At 35.4% G+C, this 24,562-nt stretch overlaps 1 protein-coding gene and 1 pseudogene across 9 annotated transcripts in view, besides 1 other annotated feature; one reads left to right on the top strand and one right to left on the bottom strand.

Moving 5' to 3' along the window:
• SCAF4 (SR-related CTD associated factor 4) overlaps positions 1-24,562 on the top strand; it is a 61,119-nt gene that overhangs the window by 14,907 nt on the left and 21,650 nt on the right. For 2 of the 9 annotated variants that reach the window (XM_006724036.4, XM_006724035.4), the window contains exons 2-12: positions 10,855-10,938; positions 11,745-11,789; positions 13,286-13,447; positions 14,833-14,968; positions 15,294-15,436; positions 16,041-16,217; positions 20,462-20,643; positions 20,991-21,099; positions 22,232-22,399; positions 22,923-22,996; positions 23,728-23,918. In XM_006724036.4, coding sequence (XP_006724099.1) covers positions 10,855-10,938; positions 11,745-11,789; positions 13,286-13,447; positions 14,833-14,968; positions 15,294-15,436; positions 16,041-16,217; positions 20,462-20,643; positions 20,991-21,099; positions 22,232-22,399; positions 22,923-22,996; positions 23,728-23,918 — 1,471 coding nt within the window. Of the gene's footprint in view, positions 1-10,854; positions 10,939-11,744; positions 11,790-13,285; positions 13,448-14,832; positions 14,969-15,293; positions 15,437-16,040; positions 16,218-20,461; positions 20,644-20,990; positions 21,100-22,231; positions 22,400-22,922; positions 23,009-23,727; positions 23,919-24,562 lie in introns of all 9 variants that reach the window. The other 7 variants (NM_001145445.1, NM_020706.2, XM_047440932.1 and 4 more) reach the window with 4 other exon arrangements.
• Positions 10,031-10,735, bottom strand: HMGN1P2 (high mobility group nucleosome binding domain 1 pseudogene 2; annotated as a pseudogene).
• Positions 10,655-11,156: an enhancer, noted in NCBI's record as "H3K4me1 hESC enhancer chr21:33078369-33078870 (GRCh37/hg19 assembly coordinates)". NCBI's record gives its function as "activates a minimal SCP1, AML or CMV promoter by ChIP-STARR-seq in naive H9 embryonic stem cells {active_cell/tissue: H9 hESC(naive)}" and the evidence as "EXISTENCE:reporter gene assay evidence [ECO:0000049][PMID:30033119]".

Here is a 24,562-nt window from a genome sequence, read left to right as displayed (position 1 = left end):
AAGGTATGGACATTTTTTAGTTCTTGTTTTATAGTTTTAAATTTCTCTTCGGAATTAAAACTCGTCCATTAGATCTCACCAGCCCAGTACTCTTTTTGCTTTATGCTAGTCCACATGCATGTCCGTTGGATAATGTAAGAATTTTATCTCCTTGTATTAATTTGTACTTTGATTATTGATTGGTATGGTTGAACACTTTTTCCTGTGTTTGTTAATTAGATATTGGGATTTTGTTTGTTAAATGAATTGCTTCTGTACATTTTTCAGTTTCATTGTACCTCTTACTGTGTGTATGTACCATTGATTAACTCATACACAGTATTCTGCTTTCAGGTAAAGTGACATAGTGGTACTTGTTTAACATGTGATTGGCTTTCTTTCCTCGCCCCATTATATTACCTGATATTAAAAAAGTATTAACCCAGACACACATTTAGTAAATTATATATTGAAGGCATAAGATGAAATACCAGGTTAAGAAAAGGACTGTACATGATCCCTTACCTAGTTGTTCTAGCAGTAGTGTTTTATGGAGTTGTCTTCAGGTTTAAATTAGATGGATAAAGCATCTTTACAGGAAAGATGATTTTAAAACTTGTTTAAAATTATCTTTTGTTAAGAAATTTAGCGTGTGCTTTGTTATACAGTGTCTATGTGTTGCTAATAAACATAAAAGTTGTGTTGGATTTAACTATTTGGTTTAAGACAGTGTCTTTGATATATTAAGTTGAGTATGAAAGAGGAGGAAAGACTGTAGAACTAAATGCTTTGATATTTGCATCTAACAGGAAGGAGATTTGAATACTAGCCTGTCATTGTGAGTATATATGTATTTCTTTTAGGAAACATTTCTATTTTTTCTTTAAATTCAACTTCACATAGTAATAGGAGCTTAAGGGAAAATTGCTTTGTCATCTTGGAGGTCATACTACCAAAGGAAGGAATACTGGAAATAATCAGTGTAATCCGTTACAAAGTAAATTTAGGAAAATACATTTTTTAAAGTTTAGGTTTCGAAAAGAAAGGGATAAATATCCCATTGAGAAAGATTCAGAAAGAAATATTGCTTGAGAGATTTAAGTTTTAAAAAGATGGCTTAGATTAGTATATAGTCTTCTAATTCTTATTGCCTCGGCAACTTTATTTCAAAAAGTAGGAAAAAGCATACTTTAGAAATTGTAGACTCTGGGCCAGTTTACTTTTGTCTGCCAGTTTTTATTAATTTTAGAAATTGCTAGTCACTAAGAGCCAGAACAGATTCACTAACAATTTATAACAGACTACCATTTGTAAAGTATGTTATGTCTAGTGAAAACTATATACCAAATATTTCAGAAAGGTATTGTATATGATTGCATTATGAATGAATTAGAAAAATATGGGCAGGATGACAGTATTGCTAAGTGGATTTTAGCTGACTGGTTATAAATACCCAAGGAATATCAGTTAAGGTCATCTTTCAAATAGGTCCTATTTTAATTTTTAGAAAACATTGACTTGGAGGAAAGCATACCAAATGAGTTCATGAAATTTACAAGCTGATTGGAATAGCTGGAGCTACATCAAATAGCAGAAAATCACTTCTAGACTTGCTAAATAGGTTGAAAGGTCTGTTAGAAACCAACACAAAGTCAATGTGAAGATCTAGTTTTGATGGGAATTCTGGTGAAAGCAGCCTGAAGATTTCAGATGATTACAAATTGGAGTTAATGAATTAAGCCCTATTTTTTTTAGGTAATAAATAATGCCCCCTTCTCCAAAGATGTTCATAATCTAATTCTAAAACCTGTAAATATATTACCTTGCAAGGCAAAAGAGACTGGGGATGTGAATAAGGTTAAGAATGTTGAGACGGGTTAATTATCCTGGATTATCTGGGTGGGCCCGGTGTAATCATAAGGGTCCTTATACTAGAGAGGTAGGAGTCAAAGAAGGAAATAAAACAACAGAAGAGATAGAAGGAGAAGATGCTATACTGCTGGCTTTGAAGATGGAAGAAGAGGCCATGAGCCAAAAGAATGTAGGCACCCTGTAGAAGCAAGATTAGACAAGAAATAGATTCTTCCCTAGAGCCTTTACAAGGAATGTCGCCTTGCTGATGCTAGTGAGATTCTGACCTCAAAAGTGTAATTTGTGTTGCTTTAAGCCAGTAAATTTGTGGTAATTTCTTACTACAGAAATAGGAAACTAATACAAAAGCCAATTCACAGTGCAGGACTACGTCCGGACCCTGTCCATTTGAGGATACCATACTTAAAGGGAATTAACCAGGATCATCTGGAAACCTTATCATTTGGCTAATAGTTAAAGAACAGAGAGGAAATACTAGTTATCTTCACATTGTTTTGCTCCATTTACTCAGCACTTATGTGTTAGGTACTGGGCTAAGAGATTTACATACATTATCCTATTTAATCCTAACAATGTGGTGAGGTGAGCCCATTAATTCCTGTTTTTCAGATTTTAAAAATCCTTGGAGTTTAGAAAGGTTGACTAAACTTGTTAAGGTTTATGCCACTGGTAAATAGCAGAGTACCCATGTTACTTTGACTAATCCCTAAACATTGTGAATTCTGCAGGTATCACAGGCCAGATACCCTCGTTCTTCTTTATCTTCACTTGAAACTCTTTACTGGTATGAGGGATCAGGATGAATCATTCTTCATAATTTTTAGAGGATTTTGTGTCTCAGGCTTCTATATGTCATGCAGCAGGGCAGTGGTCATATTTAGACGTTTTCATAGTCATTCTGCTAGTGACAAAGCAAAGAGCCAAGCTCATATCTACTGCTGACAAGTAGCATTCTTTTCCACTATGCTTATCCCTTCTAAAGAAGTCTTGTATTTGGAGGGGCTGTTGTTATTTTTATGCAGGAGGATTTCATGGTTTTCTCTGGCTGCTTTGACACTTTTTATTCATTCACAGATAACATTAATTGTGAATACAGGCTATAATGTTGGGGGAGCTCTGCACCTAACGGTGTTTATTGAATACTTGTCCTCTGCGGGGTGACATAGTACGAGTCATTCCATATACAAAAACTCATTTAGTTCTAACTGAAACTGATACCTATCAAGCAGATATCAGTATATCCTTTTTACAAATGAGGACATTATGGCTTAGAGAAATTAATTTGCCCAGAGTCATCTGCATGGCCAGACCCAGATTCAAAACCAAATCTTTCTCACTCTCTATAGAAGACCACAATTTCTGGTTTTTCTCACTAGTAGATTTTGTTGGAATTATATTAAATTTTGTGGCTTTTAGACTTGATATATAAAGCTAATAGCTTTTTTCCTGAGGTTTGTTGACTGAAATTGGATGTTGGTCATAAGTAACTGAATTATCTTTGAATCTGTTGTCTACTCTGTGTATAATACTTATGTGTATCTAAACTTGATTGAAAAACATGAAGTTTTTTTCTGACATGGCAGTGCTTCTTCCCTGCCCCCCCCACCCCACCCCCGCTCCGGTTTGCCCATGAGAAATTTATTAATGGTTTGAAGGAACCTACACATTATTGAAAGGTGACTAGCAGTTATTTTGGGCCTTATTTTCCTCATTTCTAAAAACAAAATAATTTTTCCCTGGGCTGTTGTCCTTCATATTTTTGACCACAGTACACACAGTAGGAATTATGTAATTCATTCCTGGATCTCAACCCACAGTTTGAAAAACACTGCTCTGGATTAACTCCAGGATTCTCTCTTTTTCTCAAAAGAATTACGTGTAGTACTCATTAATATCTATTGTGTATTTACTCTGTGCTAGGTGTTGCTCTAAGTGCTTTTGTATGTATTGTTTGTATTTAATTCTTAGACTTAACTAAATAAGGAGGGACTACTGTTATCCCCATTTTACAGATGGAGGAATTCTCATAGGTAGCAAGTGGTAGAGCCAAGATTTCTCGGGCAGTTATTATTGAGCCTGTGCACTTACCGTTATTCTAACAAATTATTGTGGAAAATCAATCAAAATCTTAGATCACCACAACATTATATACTTCTCTTGAGAGATTCCTCAAACAATATTGGTGACCATGACAATTAACTCTTTTATTTAAGATTAATAAATTGCAACTTTGCTTTAGACACAAGTAAGGACTCAGTAATAAATCATTTACAACTAACAAGTTCATTTTGTTTTAGAGTGAGAAAAATATACCATGCATAAATGGAAAATAAAACAGATATAGCAATGAGCAGTATAATTGATTTTTAATTAAGAGAAACAAAAGTCGGGGATTGGTGTATGTGAGAGGGGGTAGGAGTTAGAGACCAAGACATTTATTAAGCACTGATTATTTTAGATGCTTTCATTTCATGCTATTAACAGTTTTATAAAGAAGGCCATCAGTGTTTATTTTAAAAATGGGAGAATCAGGCCAGGCACAGTGGCTCACGCCTGTAATCCCAGCACTTTGGGAGGCCGAGGTGGGTGGATCAACTGAGGTCAGGAGTTTGAGACCAGCCTGACCAACATGGTGAAACCCCCGTCTCTACTAAAAATACAAACATTAGCCAGGCATGGTGGCAGGCGCCTGTAATCCCAGCTACTCGGGAGGCTGAGGCAGGAGAGTCACTTAAACCGGGGAGGCGGAGGTTGCAGTGAGCCGAGATCGCGCCATTGCACTCCAGCCTGGGGGACAATAGCAAGGCTTTGTCTCAAAAAAAAAAAAAAAAAAGGGAGAATCAGGCCAGACATGGTGGCTCTCGCCTGTAATGCCAGCGCTTTGGGAGGCTGAGGTGGGCAGATCACACAAGGCCAGGATTTAAAGACCATCCTGGGCAACATGGCAAAACCCCATCTCTACTAAAAATGCAAAAATTTGCTGGGTGTGGTGGTGCACGTCTGTAATCCCAGCTACTCAGGAGGCTGAGGCATGAGAATCGCTTGAAACCGGGAGGCAGAGGTTGCAGTGAGCCAAGATCCCACCACTGCACTCCAGCATGGGAGACAAAGTGAGACTGTCTCAAAAAAAAAAAAAAAGCAACAAACAAATGGGAGAATCAAACTCAGCAGAACTGGCAACAGTAGAGGGCCCATGTCTTACCTGGAAATATTTGGATGAGTCAATATTCAGAAATAAGAATTTCTGAATGTATAACATGCTGGCTATTTAAAGCTTTCCCTCATGCCCTAAGGTAAAATTGAGTTCTAAAACATAAAAACAGTGTATTGACCTTTAGTCTTGAGAAATTGAAATTTGATCAGTATTTTGATCATCTAAATAAATCATGCTGACACTTTCTTCCTAAGTCACCACATTCAGTATTGTAGGGTCATTTAAAGCATCAAAAAATTGACCCTATTTTAGTAATTTATATCGCCTCTAACTTGTTGCTTGGGTAGGCACATCACTTTATACCTCTGTGCCACTTAATTTTTTTCTTTAAAAAATTCTTGGGTTCAACTCCTCATAACAATTATATATTAGTATATTACTTTCTAGTTTGGGTCCACATTGCAATTTTTCCCCACTTAACATAGCTGTACAGTCCTTTTTATCTTTACTATCTGTACACTATTCTTCTGGGCTAATATATTTGAAATAATTTTGTTATTGTTAGGTACTAGTTAAAAGAATTAGAGTTTTGGGAAATGGTTGATTACAGATTGAATTTTACCACTTAATTAACTTTATAACTGAGCAGATTGTTGAGCCTCAGTGCTATCATCTGTAAAATGGAATGATAACATCTGCCTCACCATAAAGGTTGTTACTATTTCTGTCCAAATGGACAGTGTCAATGTACATGCTTACCAGGAAAGTATATCAATTCATATCCTCTATGTCAAAGTATCAGCGTAATTTCTGGATTTCTGTATCTGTTCAGTGAAGGCATTGCTGTAGGTATCAGGGAACTTTTTTGTCTTGCAAAAGGTAGAGACCGTTTGGTGAATTTGTGCATTAAATAAGTCAATAAAATATTAACAGCATTCATTGACTGTTAAAAGGTGATTTTGCAAACCTCCAATTTTGAAAAATCTGTATTTCCCTGTAGTGTTTTTCTTCGTAAATTATATCAAATGCAAATGCACAGCTTGAAATTTTAAGAAAAATGTTGGTAAAGGAGAATAAAAGTCATCCCAAAAGAAACTTCTCTGGTGGGGTGGCACATGCCTATAGTTCCAGCTGCTGGGGAAGCTGAGATGGGAGGATCACTTGAACTCAGGAGTTTAAAAAAAGAAAGAAAGTGATGTGATGGAAACTTTATAATGCTAACAAATAAGATATAAGTAAGGGTGGTCATTTATAAAAAAGCTTTGAAACATGGTCCTGTCTCCTTTTTATATACGAAACACTCAGCTTGCCACTTACTAAGCTCTCAGATATTTGTTGAATTAATGAAAAATGAGCCAAAAATGCATTTCTGTTTCCTTGCCTGCCACTCATTCCTTAACCAGTTGGAATTTGGAATCACTTTCAAAAACTGATGTCACTTGCATTCACCTAATTGCCAAACTAAATAAACAAGATTTGTTTTGCATCCTGATTAACCTCTTGTAGCATTTGGCTATGCCAGATGTCTCTAATTTCTGGGATTCTACTTTGTCCTGGTGCTCATTTTTGCAGGTTTTTTCTCTGCTACATTGAAATTTTTGGTATGTATGTTGTTCTTCTGTTTTGTGGTTTTTTTGTTTGTTTGTTTTTTGTTTTTGGAGACGGAGTCTCGGTCTGTATCCCAGGCTGGAGTGTAGTGGCACCATCTCGGCTCACTGCAACCTTCGCCTCCTGAGTTCAAGAGATTCTCATGCCTCAGCCTCCCAAGTAGCTGGGACTACAGGCACATGCCACCACACCCAGTTAATTTTTGTATTTTTAGTAGAGACAGGGTTTCACCATGTTGGCCAGGCCGGTCTCGAACTCCTGACCTCAGGTGATCTGCCCGCCTTGGCCTCCCAAAGTGCTGGGATTACAGGTGTGAGCCACCGCACCAGCCTGGTGTATGTGTTCTTGGTGGCCTTCTTACTCCAGGCTCCTTCTAATCCATCCTCATAGTTCTATAACCTTTCCATTTCTAGCCTGGATCTCTTACACATTCAAGATCCATATTTCTTTCTCTGCCTAGATATTTAGTAGGCATCCCAAATTAAATTCAGTATGTTTCATTGTTATCCCTGAATCCAGACAATATACAGGCAGGCACAGATGCCTTCCTGGATTTTTTTTTTCCCCCTATATTCCTTTTCATAGTTAATGGTCTCTGCACAAATTTAGTCTGTATGCAGCATTGTATCAGGTATGGGTATGGGTATGTTGTTAGGGAGTGTGAACTTTAGAATCAACAAATATTAGTTCAGATCATGGCCTAGGCATCATCTAAAACAGATATGACCCTTTTTTTTTTTTTTTAAGTATCATCTCAAAACAGGTGTAACAGATCTGCCTTAGTTAACATGATTAAGTAAAAAATACAACATATCACTTAAACTCATTGCTGCCTGGTAAAGCACTCAAATGTTGGTTACCTCTTCTCTTCCCAAATAATATTTTTATGGAATGTAGTAATACTCTGCAGCTGTCTCAGATTATGGTACCTGACTGTTCTCTTGCTGGTCTTTTGTCTGAATGATGGTTATACTGTTAGGTGGTATAGTCTTTACTTTTAATTTTTTAAATAGAGACTATAGAGTGTTTCCTTAAAAGCTACACTAGTCTGTCTTGTATGTTCATTTGGCTGTTAATTTAGTGAGTTGCTTACTGCTGAAATGATAAAGAAGTGCTTTTTGGGGGCATTAGATGAATATTAGCTCTGGCTTAGGTTTCCTTAAAATTTACTCTAAGCTTTTAATGACCAGAGAAGTAGTTCTTACTGTTGCTCATTTCTTTCTTTCTTTCTTTCTTTTTTTTTTTTTTGACAGTTTCAGTACCAGTAAGTATTTATTCGTTGTATTTTCCCAGGGGAAGGAGAAGGGAAGGGAAAAGAGTCAGTTTGTATGTTACAAAATCATTAGAAAATGGGAAAGGAAGTACCTGGTTCAGCAAAATCAACCATCAAAATAGACGCTCCCCCCCACCCCCACAGTGATGGGGATACCAGTGCCCAGTGGGCCTCAGTCTCTACATTTCAGGAAATGAGGAGAAGGGATCAGGAAAAGAACAGACAGGTGAAGGCTTTCTTACCTAGCTTCTCCATAAATTAGAGATTTCACACAAAGCTTTGATTTTTAGCAGTAAACAGGGCGTCACATTTGTTCATCTCCTATGAAATAATCTTGTGGCTACTTTGACATAAGTTTCTTGTACCTGCATGAAAGTTCCAGACTGCCTTGGATATACATTTAGATTCCCTTTCTTGGCTCCTGGCCATCCTCACCCTCTTGACTTTCTACGTGGAAAGGCCCCTTATTGCTTCTACTTTATTATTAAAGATTTAATCTATCCAAAATATAGCAGTGTCTTAAGTGTTTGGCATGAATCACATCAAGAAGTGGTCTTGACTCAGGAGGTTGAGAACAAGGAAGGGAGGGTTTCTAGTTTCTTCAGGATTTTTGCATAAATCATTGAAGAGTTGTGGAGACAACCCAAGAATTAAATGTGTGTGGGTGTGTTCATTAAGACCTATGGGTTTTTGTTTTTGTTTTTGCATCCCCTTTCACTGTGTTAAGGTATAGAAAATAGAACAATAATAAGCAACTGTCTTAATAGATTTTATAACAGAATATACCTTTTATAAATGTATGCTACATATTTATAAATCATACAGTGTTGATATTTTTAGAATTTGTGTTTAAGTTGAAATATGTTAAATTGTTTCTTACTGGTTTGTATAATTTTAAGGATTTGTTATTTCTTTTTCTTTTCTTTTCTTTTCTTTTTTTTTTTTAAAGACAGAGTCTCGCTCTGTCGCCTGGCCTGGCGTGCAGTGGCGCGATCTTGGCTTACTGCAACCTCTGTCCGCCTCCTGGGTTCAAGCGATTCTCCTGCCTCAGCCTCCCAAGTAGCTGGGACTACAGGTGCCCGCCACCATTTTGTATTTATAGTAGAGATGAGGTTTCGCCACGTTGGCCAGGCTGGTCTCGAACTCCTGACCTCAGGTGAACCGCCCACCTAGGCCTCCCAAAGTGCTGGGATTACAGGCATGAGCCACCGCGCCTGGCCTTACTGTTTCTTTTCTAATTGCCTTTCAGTTAGTGAGCGTTTTATTCTCAAAGATAATTTTTTTATTACATTGGTAAATGAAGTAATACAATGAAGAATTGCAGCCGTATTTAGAGAATCCTTTTATTAAAATGAAATCCTGTGTTAATATCTTAGTGTTTTCTCTGTTTTCTGTATCTTATGGAAAAATTATATTTTCTGCTTAAGTAGTTATCTGGTTTTTTATTGATTATATTTGGCATTCCATGCCTTTTCTAAAATTGTTACTGATGTCTGTAGTTTTGAAAAGATGTGAAAATTGTCTAAATTTTTAGGATACACTGCTAGGTGGGGCTGTTTACTCTGAGAAAACACTCATATTTTAGTCTAGCCTCTTAGCTAGTGGTCTAGTAAAGGTTCATACCCTAGGGCTCCATATTTGGAATATTGACATAAATTGAAAGAATGGAAATGTGATTCATATGAGTTTCATAATGTTGGGATCTCTGAAACTTACTTCACAATATCTTTTGGAAGTCCCAGGTAAGTGTATGCTTATGGTTAAACCAAACAAAAACAATAATTTAAGAAGGTAGATATGTTTCTTAATGTCAGGATTTTATCTTTATAACCCTCTATGGACTCTATGTTTTGGTTGGATTTAACCCTTTGGGGGAAGTATGTGGTTAAGTCTCATGGAAGCACCTGATGGCTGTAGATTTACTGTTGTGAGATTTGTTAAATTTGGTTTTCCCCTTTTGTTTGTGTTTTTTGGAAACAAAGTCTTGCTCTGTTGCCCAGGCTGGAGTGCAGTGATGCAGTCTTGGCTCACTGCAACCTCCACCTCCTGGGTTCAAGCAGTTCTCATGCCTCAGCCTCCTGAGTAGCTGGGATTACAGGTGTGCGCCACCATGGCTGGCTAATATTTGTATATTTAGTAGAGACATTATAGGATATAAAAAGTAACCCCCCCATCTATGGAATGTTAAGCTGACACCCAAGACAGTCAAAGCCTCCCATAATACAACATCCCACACTCTGTTCTGGTTGTACCAAAAAATAAAGTAAACAACCAGTGAATGATTTTACCTCTTAAAAAAAAGCATTTATACATAAAAAATGGGATGAACTGGGATTCCCTCCTTAAAAATGTTTCTAGACCTACTAAAATCTTGCATTTACAAAATAGTTGATAAAAATACTCCTCTGGATTGAAGAGAGGGGAGACAGAGACCACTGATAAGACATGGTATGTACTGAGTAGACTTGGCTTCTTTCTCTGGCTTCATCAGAGGCTGGACTCTCATTGGTTTTAGTTTCTCCGTTTTCTGCAGGTAAATCTTTAGTTTCTTGGTTAGTCACTTGAGTCTGTTTTCTCTTTGCTCCCCCTCCCTTTCCCTTTTGTTTGCACATCTTTGTCTAAGGATTTATACTTCTGCTGCCTTTTTTCAGCCTCATTTCCACTTTTGCAGGAGCAGGTTTAGCTGACAGCCATGCCGATTGCCTCTTGGGCTCTTCCTTCATTTCACTACCCCTTCGCCACCCCTTTGGCAGAGCTAACCTTCTTCTTGGGTATCACGGCAGTGGGGAGGGTGTGTGCTGGGTGCCTGGCCACCAAAGCTCTTCCTGCTGCCCTAGCTGCTAAGACCCCCCTCACCACCCCGGCCCCGTTTGTATTTTCCAAGTGGTGATGTAGATATGTAGGAAAGGTGCTTATTTACTAGCCAAATAGTTAAACTTTACTTTTTGTTTGTTTTTTGTCTTTTAAGCTCTTTTCGCTTATGGATATGAAACCTCCCATCTCTAGAGCCAAGATGATTCTCATCACTAAAGCTGCTATTAAAGCTATTAAGGTAATGATAAAATAAAGCAATTTGAGAAATCTTTTTGAAATTTTGAAAATATTTATTACTTTTAAACATGAGAAGTCAACTTGTGAATTAGTTCAGGCCTAAATCAAAGAGCCCTAACCAGCCTTTGCTGAAGGTACATGATAAGCGTGCATTTGCATTGTAACATATTGTTTCAAAGCAGTGTGGTTTTTTGGTGGGGGTAGGGGGATAGAGTCTCACTGCGCCACCCAGGCTGGAATGCAGTGGTGCGATCTCAGCTCACTGCAACCTCACCCTCCCGGGTTCAAGTGATTCTCATGCCTGAGCCACCTGAGTAGCTGAGATTACAGGTGTGCGCCACCACGCCCAGCCTCAAAGCAGTTTTTTAAATTTTCATTTATTCCTTATCATAAACCAACTATTTAGTTTCATTTTTATTTAAAGAGAAAAAATTCAAGCTCCATGAAGTTAAATGTCTTACCCAAAATCACACTTTAAAATGTGACTTATTTTAGAAACTACATTGTTTAGCTCTAATCCATTGGTTTTGTCCCATAAGGTTGCCAAATATTCTGCTTCATGAAGGTTTATTGATTTAAAATTTAAGAAAAGGGATCTTCTGTTTGGGGAATTTTTGTAGTTTTCTGTTTTTAGTTTATTTTTCTCTGAGTTTTTTAATATTAAATTTTTTATTATGTATTTCTCATGGTTCATTCAGTATTGATAATATTTAGATTGTATAGATTTCAGAGTTTTAAGAATTTTCTAATTATAGGAAATGTAGAAATAAGTAAACTGAACAGTAATTTTCTCTTAATTCTTTTCAGCTTTATAAGCATGTAGTTCAAATAGTAGAAAAGTTCATCAAAAAGGTAACTATCTCTCATTATAACCTCATTTTAGTTACAATATGATTTGTAATTTACTTTGTAAATTTTAATCTCAATGCTTGTTTCTAAACCACTTCATAAAAATTTAGTCACTAGAGGTTCTTTTTAATCACTAGAAGTTTATAAAAACACATTTTTAGCAGTACCATTAATTGGTACTTAACTTACTGTGAACTTAGCACTCAACTCACAGCAGTTTCTTATATGTTGGTTATGACCCTTCCCTAAACCTGAAGTGCTTACTCTACCCCCTTGCCCTGACTGCTGTTGACATTTAGGTGTTTAACTCACCTTTGAGTATTTCAAATGAAATTACTTTGTCAAATTTTCCCAATTTTTCCCTTTTCCCATCAGAATAAAATTATTTTCAGTTCAGCTGTCTGTTGTTTTATAACTGTGTGATTGGCACACATCTGTCTCAGTAGAAAATAGAAAACAGAGACTGAGACATCTTTGTCTTAACCCCTGACCTGGAGCTGTGACATGTAGTACCTACTAATCAGTGTTTATAAAAATGTCTCTAATCCATGGCCCTTGTATACTGGCTTAGGTATAAAAGTTAAAGTTCCAACAGGCAAAAAAGATGGTTAGTAAACGCTTTGCATAGTAGTACATCAAAGTACAAATAAATAAAATGGAAAAAATTACCTATAGGCACTGTCAACAAATTAACTGCAATATTTATTAATACATTTGGATTTATTTTTTATGTACATGTACATTTATAAAAGTAAAAATGGACATAATACTGGTTGTTAGGCTGCTTTTCCCACTGAGTTTATCGTAAACAGTTGCAAAATACTCCTCTGCGGTTGTTACAGTGATGCACACAGCCATTTTCTGAGTTGTTAGACCTAATTTTTTTTTTTTTTGCATAAATTCCTAGATGTAGAATTGGTGGATTAAATAAGACTTTGCTTTTATTGCTAAATTGTCTTCTATAAAGGGTTATACCTGTTTCCACTACCACCAGAAATATATATAGGTGTCTGTTTCTCTGCTTTTCTCTGCTGTTGTCAGTTCGGTTAGCCAAAAACTACTTCTTGTTTTTAATTTTTATTTGGTACTGTAATAGAATTAAAATTGATATGTTAAAAAATGTTTTGTTAATTTTGAAAGATAAAAATTACCTTTTTGAGCAGGGTGAATTGTAGAGACTATCATAATAAGTGAATTTATATGGAACTGGCTTAAGGATTGGTAAAGTAATGTCGATTTTGGGACATTGGGTGTAGGGAAGTAGAGAAATCAAAGAAGAGTAAAATCTTGGGGGTCAGTAGTATCAAGAGAATGGTAGTTCCATTATAGACATGGGAAATTTGACAAGTTAGCCATTTAGAGAGCTGAAACATTCAAGTAGTTTTTAAACAAAAGCAATCATTGGATGGATATATAAAAGTTTCATAAATGTGAAAATAATGGGTGTCAGATTGTGACTTTGCTTTTTCTGTACTGATCTTACATCTTTATCCTTGCAGTGTAAACCAGAATACAAGGTTCCGGGATTATATGTAATTGACTCAATTGTGCGACAGTCTCGTCATCAGTTTGGAACTGATAAAGATGTTTTTGGGCCAAGATTCTCTAAAAACATAACTGCCACATTCCAATATTTATATCTTTGTCCATCTGAAGATAAGGTATAATTAATTTTTAAACTAAAACTTGTATTCTTTAAAAAATATTATTTTAAATGTATGTTAGATATTTGGAGCCTACTATATTACCAGATAAGATTTTCATGTAGCGATGTCTGTGAGCTTGAAACAAAACAGTTTTTTTCTTCAGTGGTCATTTCGTGTTTATTTTCTTATGAGTTCTTCAGGATTATCAGTCATACTGTTGAAATATGACAGGAACAAAATTTATAGAATCAAAGAGTTTAATAGTGGTTGCCAGGGACTAGGGGTAAGGGAAACATTAGGAGCTGCTAATCAATAGGTATGACATTTCAGTTAAGCAAGATGAATAGGTTGTAGAGATCTGCTGAACAACCTTGTACCTATAGTTAACAATTCTGTATTGTACACTTAAAAATTGGCTAAGTGAGTAGATCTCATGTTAAGTGTTCTTATCACAGTAAAGTAAAATTTTTAAAAAATAATATGAAAGGCGCATCATCTTTAAAGAAGATATCGTTGGAAAGATGTGCTTGTGTAGTTGAGTAAGGAAGAAATTGTGCAGTAGGAAAAGACAGCGATCATCTGATTGTGGTTATTCCAGAAAGAAAGAGCCAATAATAGATGTTCTTCCCCAACATATAGAGATACTAAAGTTTAAGTGGTATTCATTAGCAATCAGACTACAGTATTTAATTCCTTATATATACAGTTGGCTTTACAACATACTATATAAAAGTAGAAAAACATTACAGATATAGTAGCTGACTATAAGTAGATAGGAGGAATTATACTAGTAAACATACTCAGAATAATGAAGAACGGAGACATTTACAATAAACAGCATATAAATTTCAGTGTCATAGGTGCTGTTTTTATATTCTTGGAAGAATGCTCTTGTGGGAAAAATACACCCAAAACCAAGATGATTCCTTGAGTAAAGATAAAAGTTGTGCCCATGAATAACATATATTCTCTGGATCTTCATATTTGCTTGGCCACATAATTTAAGTTTTGACTACAGGCCAGTTGCTTAAATATTTTAGCTGTTATAATTACTCTGAAGAAATTCTCCTTCATTTACTTCAAGATAGCTTTTTTTTGGGGGGTCAGTGATAGTTTATTTGTAACCATAAGTAAAATAAAATGAAAATGTCAAATAATAAATTTCTTTTTATTGTCTGGGTCTATAGTCCATCTCTGTTCCTTACTCTAGATGATACCACTGAAGAAAGACTAATTAGTTTAACCAGGTTGTAATTCTGATTTTTTTTTTTCCTTGTTTATGAAACACACATAGTATGGAAATATTAGCCTAGGGAGTTTTCCTCTCTTTTTTTTGTAAGAGTATAATCGGTTATTTATGCAAATATTTATTGTATATTTGTGTTTCTCATGCGTAACAGAGTAAAATAGTTCGTGTGCTGAACCTTTGGCAAAAAAATGGAGTGTTCAAAATTGAAATTATTCAACCTCTTTTGGACATGGCAGCGGGAACCAGTAATGCAGCCCCAGTAGCAGAAAATGTTACCAATAATGAAGGTATGGTCAGATGTATCTGTGAGCTCACACAATGGTATGATTTTTTGCACATGAAACAGTCAGAGTTTATGTGTATTGAAGGAATTTTTCTATAAGAAGGAAACTTGAGTTTACATCTTGGAAGGTATGATTTTCTTTCCATAATTCCTATTTATAATAAAGGTCTGCTCTTCTGGTAGTTGTTACAGTATAAACTCTAGTGCCACAATCTCTATATTTTATACTTTGTTAAATTGGATAAAATGTTATTTTAGCAAAGAAGCTTAATTAGGAAAACTTGTAGGTTAACTTTTTTTTTAGGCCTTAATGCCCTTTTCTTTTTTAGGCTCACCTCCACCTCCAGTAAAAGTTTCTTCTGAACCTCCCACACAAGCCACTCCAAACTCCGTCCCAGCTGTACCACAGTTGCCCAGCTCTGATGCTTTTGCTGCTGTGGCTCAGCTGTTTCAGACAACTCAAGGCCAACAGGTAAACTGTCTACTCAAAAGTGAAATTGTTTGCAGGACTAGGTACTGTTGTCACTTCTTGTTTTCTATTCTTCATTAATAAGCACATTGAAAGGAGAAAATACGTCTGCTTTTCAACTAGAAAAGCCTTCACAAGAGAAGTAATGTAGGAGGAACAGGGAAAATGTAGAAGTGATAAACAAGGGAACAACACACTTAGAAATGACAGTACCTCTTTGAAGAGGACTTTAGAACTACTAAGTGGCTCATGTTGCTCACAATTCTAGCATTTCTGATGGATTTCAAAATTATTTTTAACGGAGAGAATTTTTCCATTTTTCTAGAAAACTTATGCTTACTTTGTTCACAATTCAGTGTATTTTCTCTTTTTTTGACCATCATATCATTGACATTGTCAGCATACATTTTTAACCTTAAGAAATGCACATTATATCTCTGTATATTCATTCACAACAAATTTAACCATTCATAAAAGGATTTTTTCCCCAATTTGTTCTGTGCCTATGCTACTTTGAATCACCTTTAAGACATTTTTTTATTAAATTAACTTTTGATAGTATGATTATACTTTGTTCTGTGATTTATTGGTTTTCCCATTCTTTAAGCTTCAGCAGATCCTTCAGACTTTTCAACAGCCTCCAAAACCACAGTCTCCTGCCCTTGACAATGCTGTGATGGCTCAGGTTCAGGCTATCACAGCTCAGTTAAAGACAACTCCTACACAACCATCTGAACAAAAAGCTGCTTTCCCCCCACCTGAACAGAAAACTGCATTTGACAAGGTATATTTCTCTCACATAACCCACCCCACCATTTATATCACTCAACTTGAGTTATGGAAATTATCACTTCTGTATCCCTTCTGTGGATTGTTCATTATGTCGTTTTGTAATTTGAGAGATTTTCCCCCTCAACAAGAAAACATCGATTATTTTCCCTGGTTTTAAATGTGATATGTGCTCAGTGCAAAAATTTCCAGGGTTTGAAGCTGAATTTACTAGTGTAAAATTAAAAAAGTGAAAAAAAAAAAAAAAAGAAAAAGTTAGGGAGTAAAGGAAACAGAAAATTCTTCATTAACCCCAATACTTGGGGATTACTGTGTAACATTTTGCCTTACATCTTTTCAGAATTAATTTCCTACAGATACATGCTTTTCTTTAATTGAGTATAATACATACCCACTTGTTTTGGTGTTAATACTCTTGTATCTTTTTTGTTGTTGTTAAGGTTAATAGTGGATTTAGATCTACATTTTTACTGAATGCATGTAATACATAGTATTCCACTACATGGGCACATTACAGTTCAGCCATTCCACTACTAATAGACATTCAAATTGCTTTCAGTTTTTTGCTGTTAAAAAAACCTGACAGCCAAGTGTGGTGGCTCACACCTGTAGTCCCAACACTTTGGGAGGTCGAGAACGGAGGATCCCATGAGCCCAGGAGTTTGAGACCAGCCTGGGCAACATAGTGAGACTCCGTCTGTGTTTATTTATTTTTAATATATATGTGTGTGTATTAATAATATATAGGTATTATTTTTAATATATAAAAATATATAAAATTATATATTATTTGTGTGTGTGTGTGTGAGTGTGTGTGTATTTTAACCTTAGTTACCATATATATAATATGAGGGTTTGGGAACCAGCTGGGTATGGTGGTGTGCACCTGTAGCCCTAGCTACCCAGGATGCTGAGGTGGGTGGGTTGCTTGGCCCCAGGAATTCAAAGCTGCAGTAAGCCATGATTGTGCCACTAGCCTGGGCAACAGAATGAGATCCTGTCTCTAAAAAACAAGCAACAACAAAAAAGAGGATTTGAGTTAGGTCAGTGTCTCAGCTGCTCTATCGGGCCTATAGGTTTCTTAGGCATGTTTAAGAAGCTGCCACTAAGGATATGGATATGCTGAACAGCTTAGAGCTTCTCATTGAAATTTAACCCTAACAGCTCCACTCTTGTCTGTTTTATTTGGTTTATGGCTTTATAAAACATCATTTGACTTTTCAGTTTTCACTGCAAAAAAACTCAAAAGTTTGAAAATCAGAACTGATGCCTTTGGTTTCATCATCTTTAAAATATCTGATTCTTTCCAACATCCTAACTATAAAAACAGAAGGACTTTATTGCCAATAGTCTAAATTAAAAATCCACCTAGTAAATACCAGTTTTCATTATATCTTAGTGATTTATGAGTGATGACTGATTAAACAAAAGTTGGATACATTTTTTTGAGTAAAAAGGAAATATATACTTGCAGAAAAAAAAAAAAACAAATAATACAGAAAGTTATAAAATAAGGAAAGAATTCCACACTGCAGTTTGAACAGATTTGTTCGTGTATATTCTTGCACTCTTGTTTGCATGCACATACGAACATAAACTCACATATTTGGTTTTCCTAGTTTTTTGTTTTATGTTGTGATTAGGAAAACTCCTCATTTGTATTAGAAAAGATTTCTATATTCTAGTAAGGTTTTTTTTATGATTGTCTGTTCAGTCCCTCTGGAATCTGTTTTAGAATATGGTTGAAGATAGTTAAACCATTATGTTTTTGAAAATAGCCAGTTCTCCCTCACTACTTTTTTATACACTAAATTCCTGTATGTTTCTGTGTCTTATCTCTGGACACTGTTCTATCCCACTAATATATTTGTTTATTTCTGCATCATAATAATTCTTGTGACAGACTGTCTTTCATTTCCTGGTATCCCGTCTCTCCCCCTCCCACTTCACTCTTTTTCAAACTCCCCCTCATACTTTTTCAAACTTTGTTCATTTATCATGAAGTGTATTAGTCAAGAGTTCCAGGGAAACAGAACCAGTAATTGAATCTACATCTGCATCTGTCTATCTAGATTCTTGAATGAAAGATAGATTTATCTTAAGAAACTGGCTCACGCAGTTGTAGGGACTAGCAAATTTGAAATTTGCAGGGCAGGTCAGCAGGCTGGAAATTCAGGAGTTAACATTGTAGGCCTGAGTCTGAATTTGCAGGATAGCAGACTAAAAACTCAGGCCAGGGTTTCTCTGTTGCACTGCTGAGGATAATTCCCTCTATCTCAGTTCTTATTCTTAATGCCTTCAACTGATTGATTGAGGCCCACTCATTATTGAGAGTAATCTGCTTTACTCAGAGTCTACTGATTTATTGTTACTTTCATCTAAAAAACACCTTCTCATCTAAAAAAACACCTTCACAGCAACACCTAGATTAGTGTTTGACTGTACAGCTGGGTACTACATAACCTAGGCAGGTTGACACAAAATTAACAGTCACAGCATACTTTTCCAGATGAACTGGAAAACTCTGTACATTTCTATGTCAGTGTATAGAATTCCTTTGAATTTATAGGTAAATTTAGGAAAAGCCATGATGGTGAGCATGTTTCTCTTATTAATGTGAATTCTAATTCCTCTAGTATTTAACCTTAAGTGGACTGGCCCATAAGTTTAGAAAAAGGAATTCTGTGCTTTTCTTTTGACTAAAAAGGTCTGTTTCAAGCTTCTCACTGGAAATAATTTGTCTGTTTCAGCTACTTTATAGATCTTCAGTTTCCTAAAAAGCAACTAAAATTTCTTTTTGGGTAGACCCCATTTTAATTTTTTAATTGCTTTAAGTATTTTAAAGCAGTATTCTTCAAACTTTAAAGAACATATTAATATGTAATAAACTGTGAAGATCATAGGTTTTGTTTTTTATAGGCGACTTTGACCAGATTTTAATTTTGGCTCCAATTACTTACAGACTGTCCTGTTGTTGAATTAATGTTTACTGTTCAGTAGTGTAAAATAAAGATGGTAGTAAAAATATTTTATTGTTGCCATGAGGGTTAAATAAAAATATGTAAAACAGCAAGGTACCTGGGCTGTGATGGTTCCTGTTCAGAAAATACTAACTTGCTCATTTGTAAGAACTTTACTCACTTGGCCTAGAACTACAAAGAAACATAAGTTAGCTCTATCCCAAAACACACTTTACACTTAGTTTAGTCCTATATACTGTGTTGTCTAAGGACAGAACTTTTCATTTGATTTAGAAATGTGTTGTTCAATAAAGCAAAACCAGAATCTCTAGGCAGAACTATTATAGAATGACAAGGTTCAGGAATTTAAGGTTGAAGTCTATAAGCAGAATGAGCACGGCTTGAAAGGAAAGATTGCTTATTGAAAGCCAGAGACTGAGGGCTTTGAAGTCAAAAGGACTAGTGTCCGCATCCTGATTCTACCATTCACTGACTGTGCAATCTTAATCATGTTTCTTAATCACCTGAGCCTTTGTTTCCTTGTCTGTAAAAAAGAAGAAACTATCTACATTGCAGTGTTCTTGTGATGAAGTCTATATGATCTGATACACATTAGTAGGTATTTAAGCATTATCTTTTTTCTGAATAAATCTTACTTAAAATTGTTCTTCTAGATATGTGATCTCATTAAGTCTCTTGAATTTTTTTTTACATGAAAGTTTCTGGTAAGCTGTGAAGTTATGAGAAAGAAGCAAGCGAACCTCTTAGGAACTGCTAGTGACTTTTTTGTGTCCTTGCCATTTTTTTTCTTTTTTTATATTAGTATATTCTTGAGGAAGCAGTATATGGACACTTTTCTATATGCATTATGGTGATTGAATAAGACAGTCTTTTTGTACATTTTATGCTGACTGAAAATGTATACCCATTTTCATGTGCACAAAGTTCCAGACATTTTTAGGCTAGGGAAATGAGTATTTTAGAAAAACATGTATGCTGCTAAATTACTTGTGAAATACACCAATAGAAAATAGAAAGCACTGTACTTACAATTGAGGAAGGAAAACAGAATGAAAACACTGTGTGTTTTCCAAACTGGCATCTGTGTAAAAATTGTTTATATCTACAAACCAAGGTCCTGAGGGGCATAAGGGAAAATAAGATTGTGCTTGACAATGTGGGTTTCTAGATGGTGGTAAACATCCCTTGTTTTCATAAAGTTTTTTGTGCAGTGAATCAGTCTAAATTTTAAAATGAAATATTGACATAATTATTCCAGAAGTTGCTTGATAGATTTGACTATGATGATGAGCCAGAAGCTGTGGAAGAATCAAAGAAAGAGGATACCACTGCCGTCACCACGACAGCACCTGCTGCCGCAGTACCCCCTGCACCCACCGCCACCGTGCCTGCTGCTGCTGCACCCGCTGCTGCCTCTCCTCCTCCTCCACAGGCACCATTGTTAGTTTTTTTTTTTATTCCTCAGCAGATAGAAAATTGGTAATAGTTGTAAGGCATAACCTAAGTAACATTTAGCAATGACAACAATGTTCTATGAAGTTGTTTTGTAAAATTTGTGGTATTAGTTTTCTCTTGAATGAGGAAGGGATCCTCTTAAGATTTAAAACCAAAAAATGGCTTTTATGTTGGGAATAATACTGAGTTTATAAATTAAATTTAATATATAGGTAAATATATGGTTCAGTAAAATGTTAATGACTCATGAACAACACTCTGTTTCTGTAATTTAAGTGTGGCTGAGAAGCTTGTGCTTTTGAATGGGTAAAAGATTATCCACCTTTTTTTAGTGGCTTTCCTGGAGATGGCATGCAGCAGCCAGCATACACACAGCATCAAAATATGGATCAGTTTCAGCCACGAATGATGGGAATACAACAGGATCCAATGCACCATCAGGTACAAGCATTTTTCTTGCAGTTCAAAGAAAGATCTATTCATTATAGAGCGTATGGTTTGCATTCCACAGAGCACTCTGCAGCTATGTAATTGGCTAAGTCGTACTATATCTCTGATAAAAGCTGTTGAACACGTAACTATTTTGAGTTGCTTTTTTCTGTAATTAAAACAAGGATGCCAAAATCACATGCTCATATTTTAATAATAGGCATTTTTTTAGTTAAAATAATGTAGAGATTACAGTTCTATTTGAAGAAACCGACCTGTTTAGTTATACAGCTTTTTCCCTTGGAAGGGCCTTCCTTCTGTATTTTGTGTGGTTAGATACTTTAGAGGGCTCTGAGCTCTGAACATTCAGGAATATAGTTTGAAATCCGCAATAAAAGGAGCATACATAGCACACTGGAGAGTTGCAGGAAGTTAGTAGAGATAAATTTGTTCCAGTAAATTCTCTCATTGAGTGTTTCTTAAACTTGATTCTGTATCTAAATTATGGGGATGGGGTGGGAAGCATTTTTGTTATTTCAAGTGTTTAACAATTACTGAAAGTTCATAAATAATTTAGAAAGAATACTTAAAGCATTATATTTATAGTTTTATTTGTGTTTAAACTGACATGCAGAAATATGTTAGATTGTAGTTTACTTTCATTATTATTATGATACTTTATTTGAAACTCTAAAAGTTGGGTATGTTAGTTGAAATTCCCCCTTGGTTATTTTTTTTTAAAGTAAACCTAGAAGTCATTGCTTCTAGATAGCCAGTTTTCCTCCCAAAAGGCTTAATTGTCTTTAAAGCTGAAAAGAGACCATTTGCAATGGAGTACTTCTGACTTGAAGTTCAGTTTATCACATTGCTTCCTTATGTAAATGAAGGTATTTCTTTAAATATTTAAAACTAAACCTGTGTGTTCATAATTTTAAAAAGAGTTACAGGATTTTTAACCTATATACTTGGTATGTAACAATTCTTGCGTGGAAATTGTACATATGGAAATTGTTAAACAATGTTGAATGTCGTTGTAACTTTTCCTTGATCAAACTTTATTGAGGATATTTTAGTTTTATATAACTAAAGGTTTTCCAAATTATTTTGATAGCTATTACTCATACACTTTCTTTAAAAATGAAAGGTTCCACTTCCTCCTAATGGACAAATGCCAGGATTTGGACTTCTTCCTACACCTCCATTTCCTCCCATGGCTCAGCCTGTGATTCCTCCAACTCCACCAGTGCAGCAGCCTTTCCAAGCTTCTTTTCAGGCACAAAATGAACCACTTACACAGAAGCCGCATCAGCAGGTAAAACTTTATTCTCAGATAGTTTTATCTTTTTTTGTTGCCTTGACTTATATGCAGATTTCTCCTTATTTGCTTGCTGTCTTCATTTTTGAATATGAAGAAAGACCTGGGTACATATTAAACCCTCTCAGTGCTCCAGGTTTTTCATCTGGAAAGTGGACATGCTAATACTGCCAACTTCCATAGGATTCTGTGAGGTTTGATATAGAGTGTTGAAGGCTTAACTAGTGCCTACTTCACTGCATTAGATAATGGTTTATTAAAATGGTATGTAATTTAAGCAAAGTAACTTTACCAGAAGTAGAGAAATATTTCTTTTAATCTTTTAAACAATATAAAAGTGGTTTTTGTTTTTGTTTTTTTTTCCCAGTGATGGCCAGTTGTTACTAGTAATTTGGTCCCAGGCAACCAAAAGAGAATTGCTTCAGGGAAGGAGATTTTTAATATAGCTTTTGTTAGATTTTGTCCTCTTGCTTTTATACTTTTTAAATTTCTCATTTTATCATGGTTTTTGTTTTTTAAGGAAATGGAAGTAGAACAACCTTGTATTCAAGAGGTTAAGCGACATATGTCTGATAACAGAAAGTCAAGATCTAGGTCAGCATCCAGGTAATTTATAGAAAATGTTTTTTCCAACCCTGTATATCTTAGGGGACATAGAAATTAAAATTAGATTGGGTTATTTTCAGATATTCAGAATGTTAGTAAAATAACAGTTGGTATGTTTGTATTTGTATATGTGTGTAGAAGGGGGCAGGTGAAGTATTGATGTAAAAAAAAAAACTACATCATTCATCTTACTTTTTTTCCCTATATTTAAGTTGCTCAGATGTAACGGAATTTTGAAGATATAATTCTATACATAGGTAATCAGTATGTGATATTAGAAGAACTATATTTTCAAAGTTCCATTACAGCTTTATCAGCCAGCAAAAGTGGAAAGATCACAGTAATGCTGTAATCAGAGAATGTTTTTAATTGCTGCAGAAAAGACTTTACTAAGAAGATAGGTAACAGTAGTAGCAGTGTATCTCAACTGTGAAAATTAGCTACTTAAATTACAAGGATGTAATTTTATATAGTACCAGACGGCACTGAAGATGACAGATACTTATATAAGCTGTCAACATTGTGTATTTTATTTAAATAATGTGCATGATTTCTAATTTGGGACATACTAAATCTGTAAAATGAATTCTCAGGTATTGCATTCTTACATACCCAAACATTAAATTACCTAGTTTTTGTTCTGTTTTAATTAGTATGTGCTTATATTTTCTGGTTTTTGTCTATATGCTATGCATTCTCCCTTCTCTTGAAAACATTAGGTCACCAAAAAGGAGGCGATCTAGATCTGGTTCTAGATCTCGAAGGTCTCGGCATCGACGTTCTCGATCTCGGTCCAGGGATAGACGCCGACATTCTCCCCGATCTCGATCTCAAGAAAGACGGGATCGAGAAAAAGAGAGAGAACGTCGACAAAAAGGCCTCCCTCAAGTGAAACCGGAAACTGCAAGTGGTAACTCAACCTTTATATTCAAACCTCATGTACTATTTTTTCATGTCTTGGGTTTAAAGTGTTTTATAACTGTTAGCAAAACTATAAAAGAAATGTTACCACTGTGTTGATTTTTATTTGAAATATTGCTTTCTTGTGCCTTGTTTATTCATTGATGTATACCCTTAGATTTGCTTTCGTACCTTAAACCAGCTATAAAGCAGCAGTAAGGAGTGAACCAAAAATTTACAGAATGTATTCACTTGCATTATTTTCTGAATCTCATCAGATGTCTTCAGAATACATTTAGTAAGGTGTGCTAGACATATATTTGATATAAATCAGTAACTATTAAGATGACTAAGATTTTAATTTATAATATGACTAGGGCATATGTAAGATTTCTGATTCCATAAGGCTTATCACCTAGGACACAACATAAAAGAAAAACCATCAACACTTAAGAGTGGAGAAAGGACAGTTACATGCAAGTGAACAAAGCACTGAGCTGGTTGGTAATCAAGAGACTTGAGCTCCAATCCTAGTTCTGCTGTTCATTGGCAGGGTGAGGTGGGCAAGTTATTGCTTCCCTGGCTTCAGTTTTTATAGATGTAATCTTTAGATCCATCTACAAAAAAACCAGTTTTTTCCAACTTTTATGTATA

Source organism: Homo sapiens, chromosome 21, assembly GCF_000001405.40.
Source record: "Homo sapiens chromosome 21, GRCh38.p14 Primary Assembly".
Taxonomy (NCBI): domain Eukaryota; kingdom Metazoa; phylum Chordata; class Mammalia; order Primates; family Hominidae; genus Homo; species Homo sapiens.
Note: the sequence above shows the minus strand (reverse complement) of the source record. Positions and strands in the feature narration are given on the sequence as shown.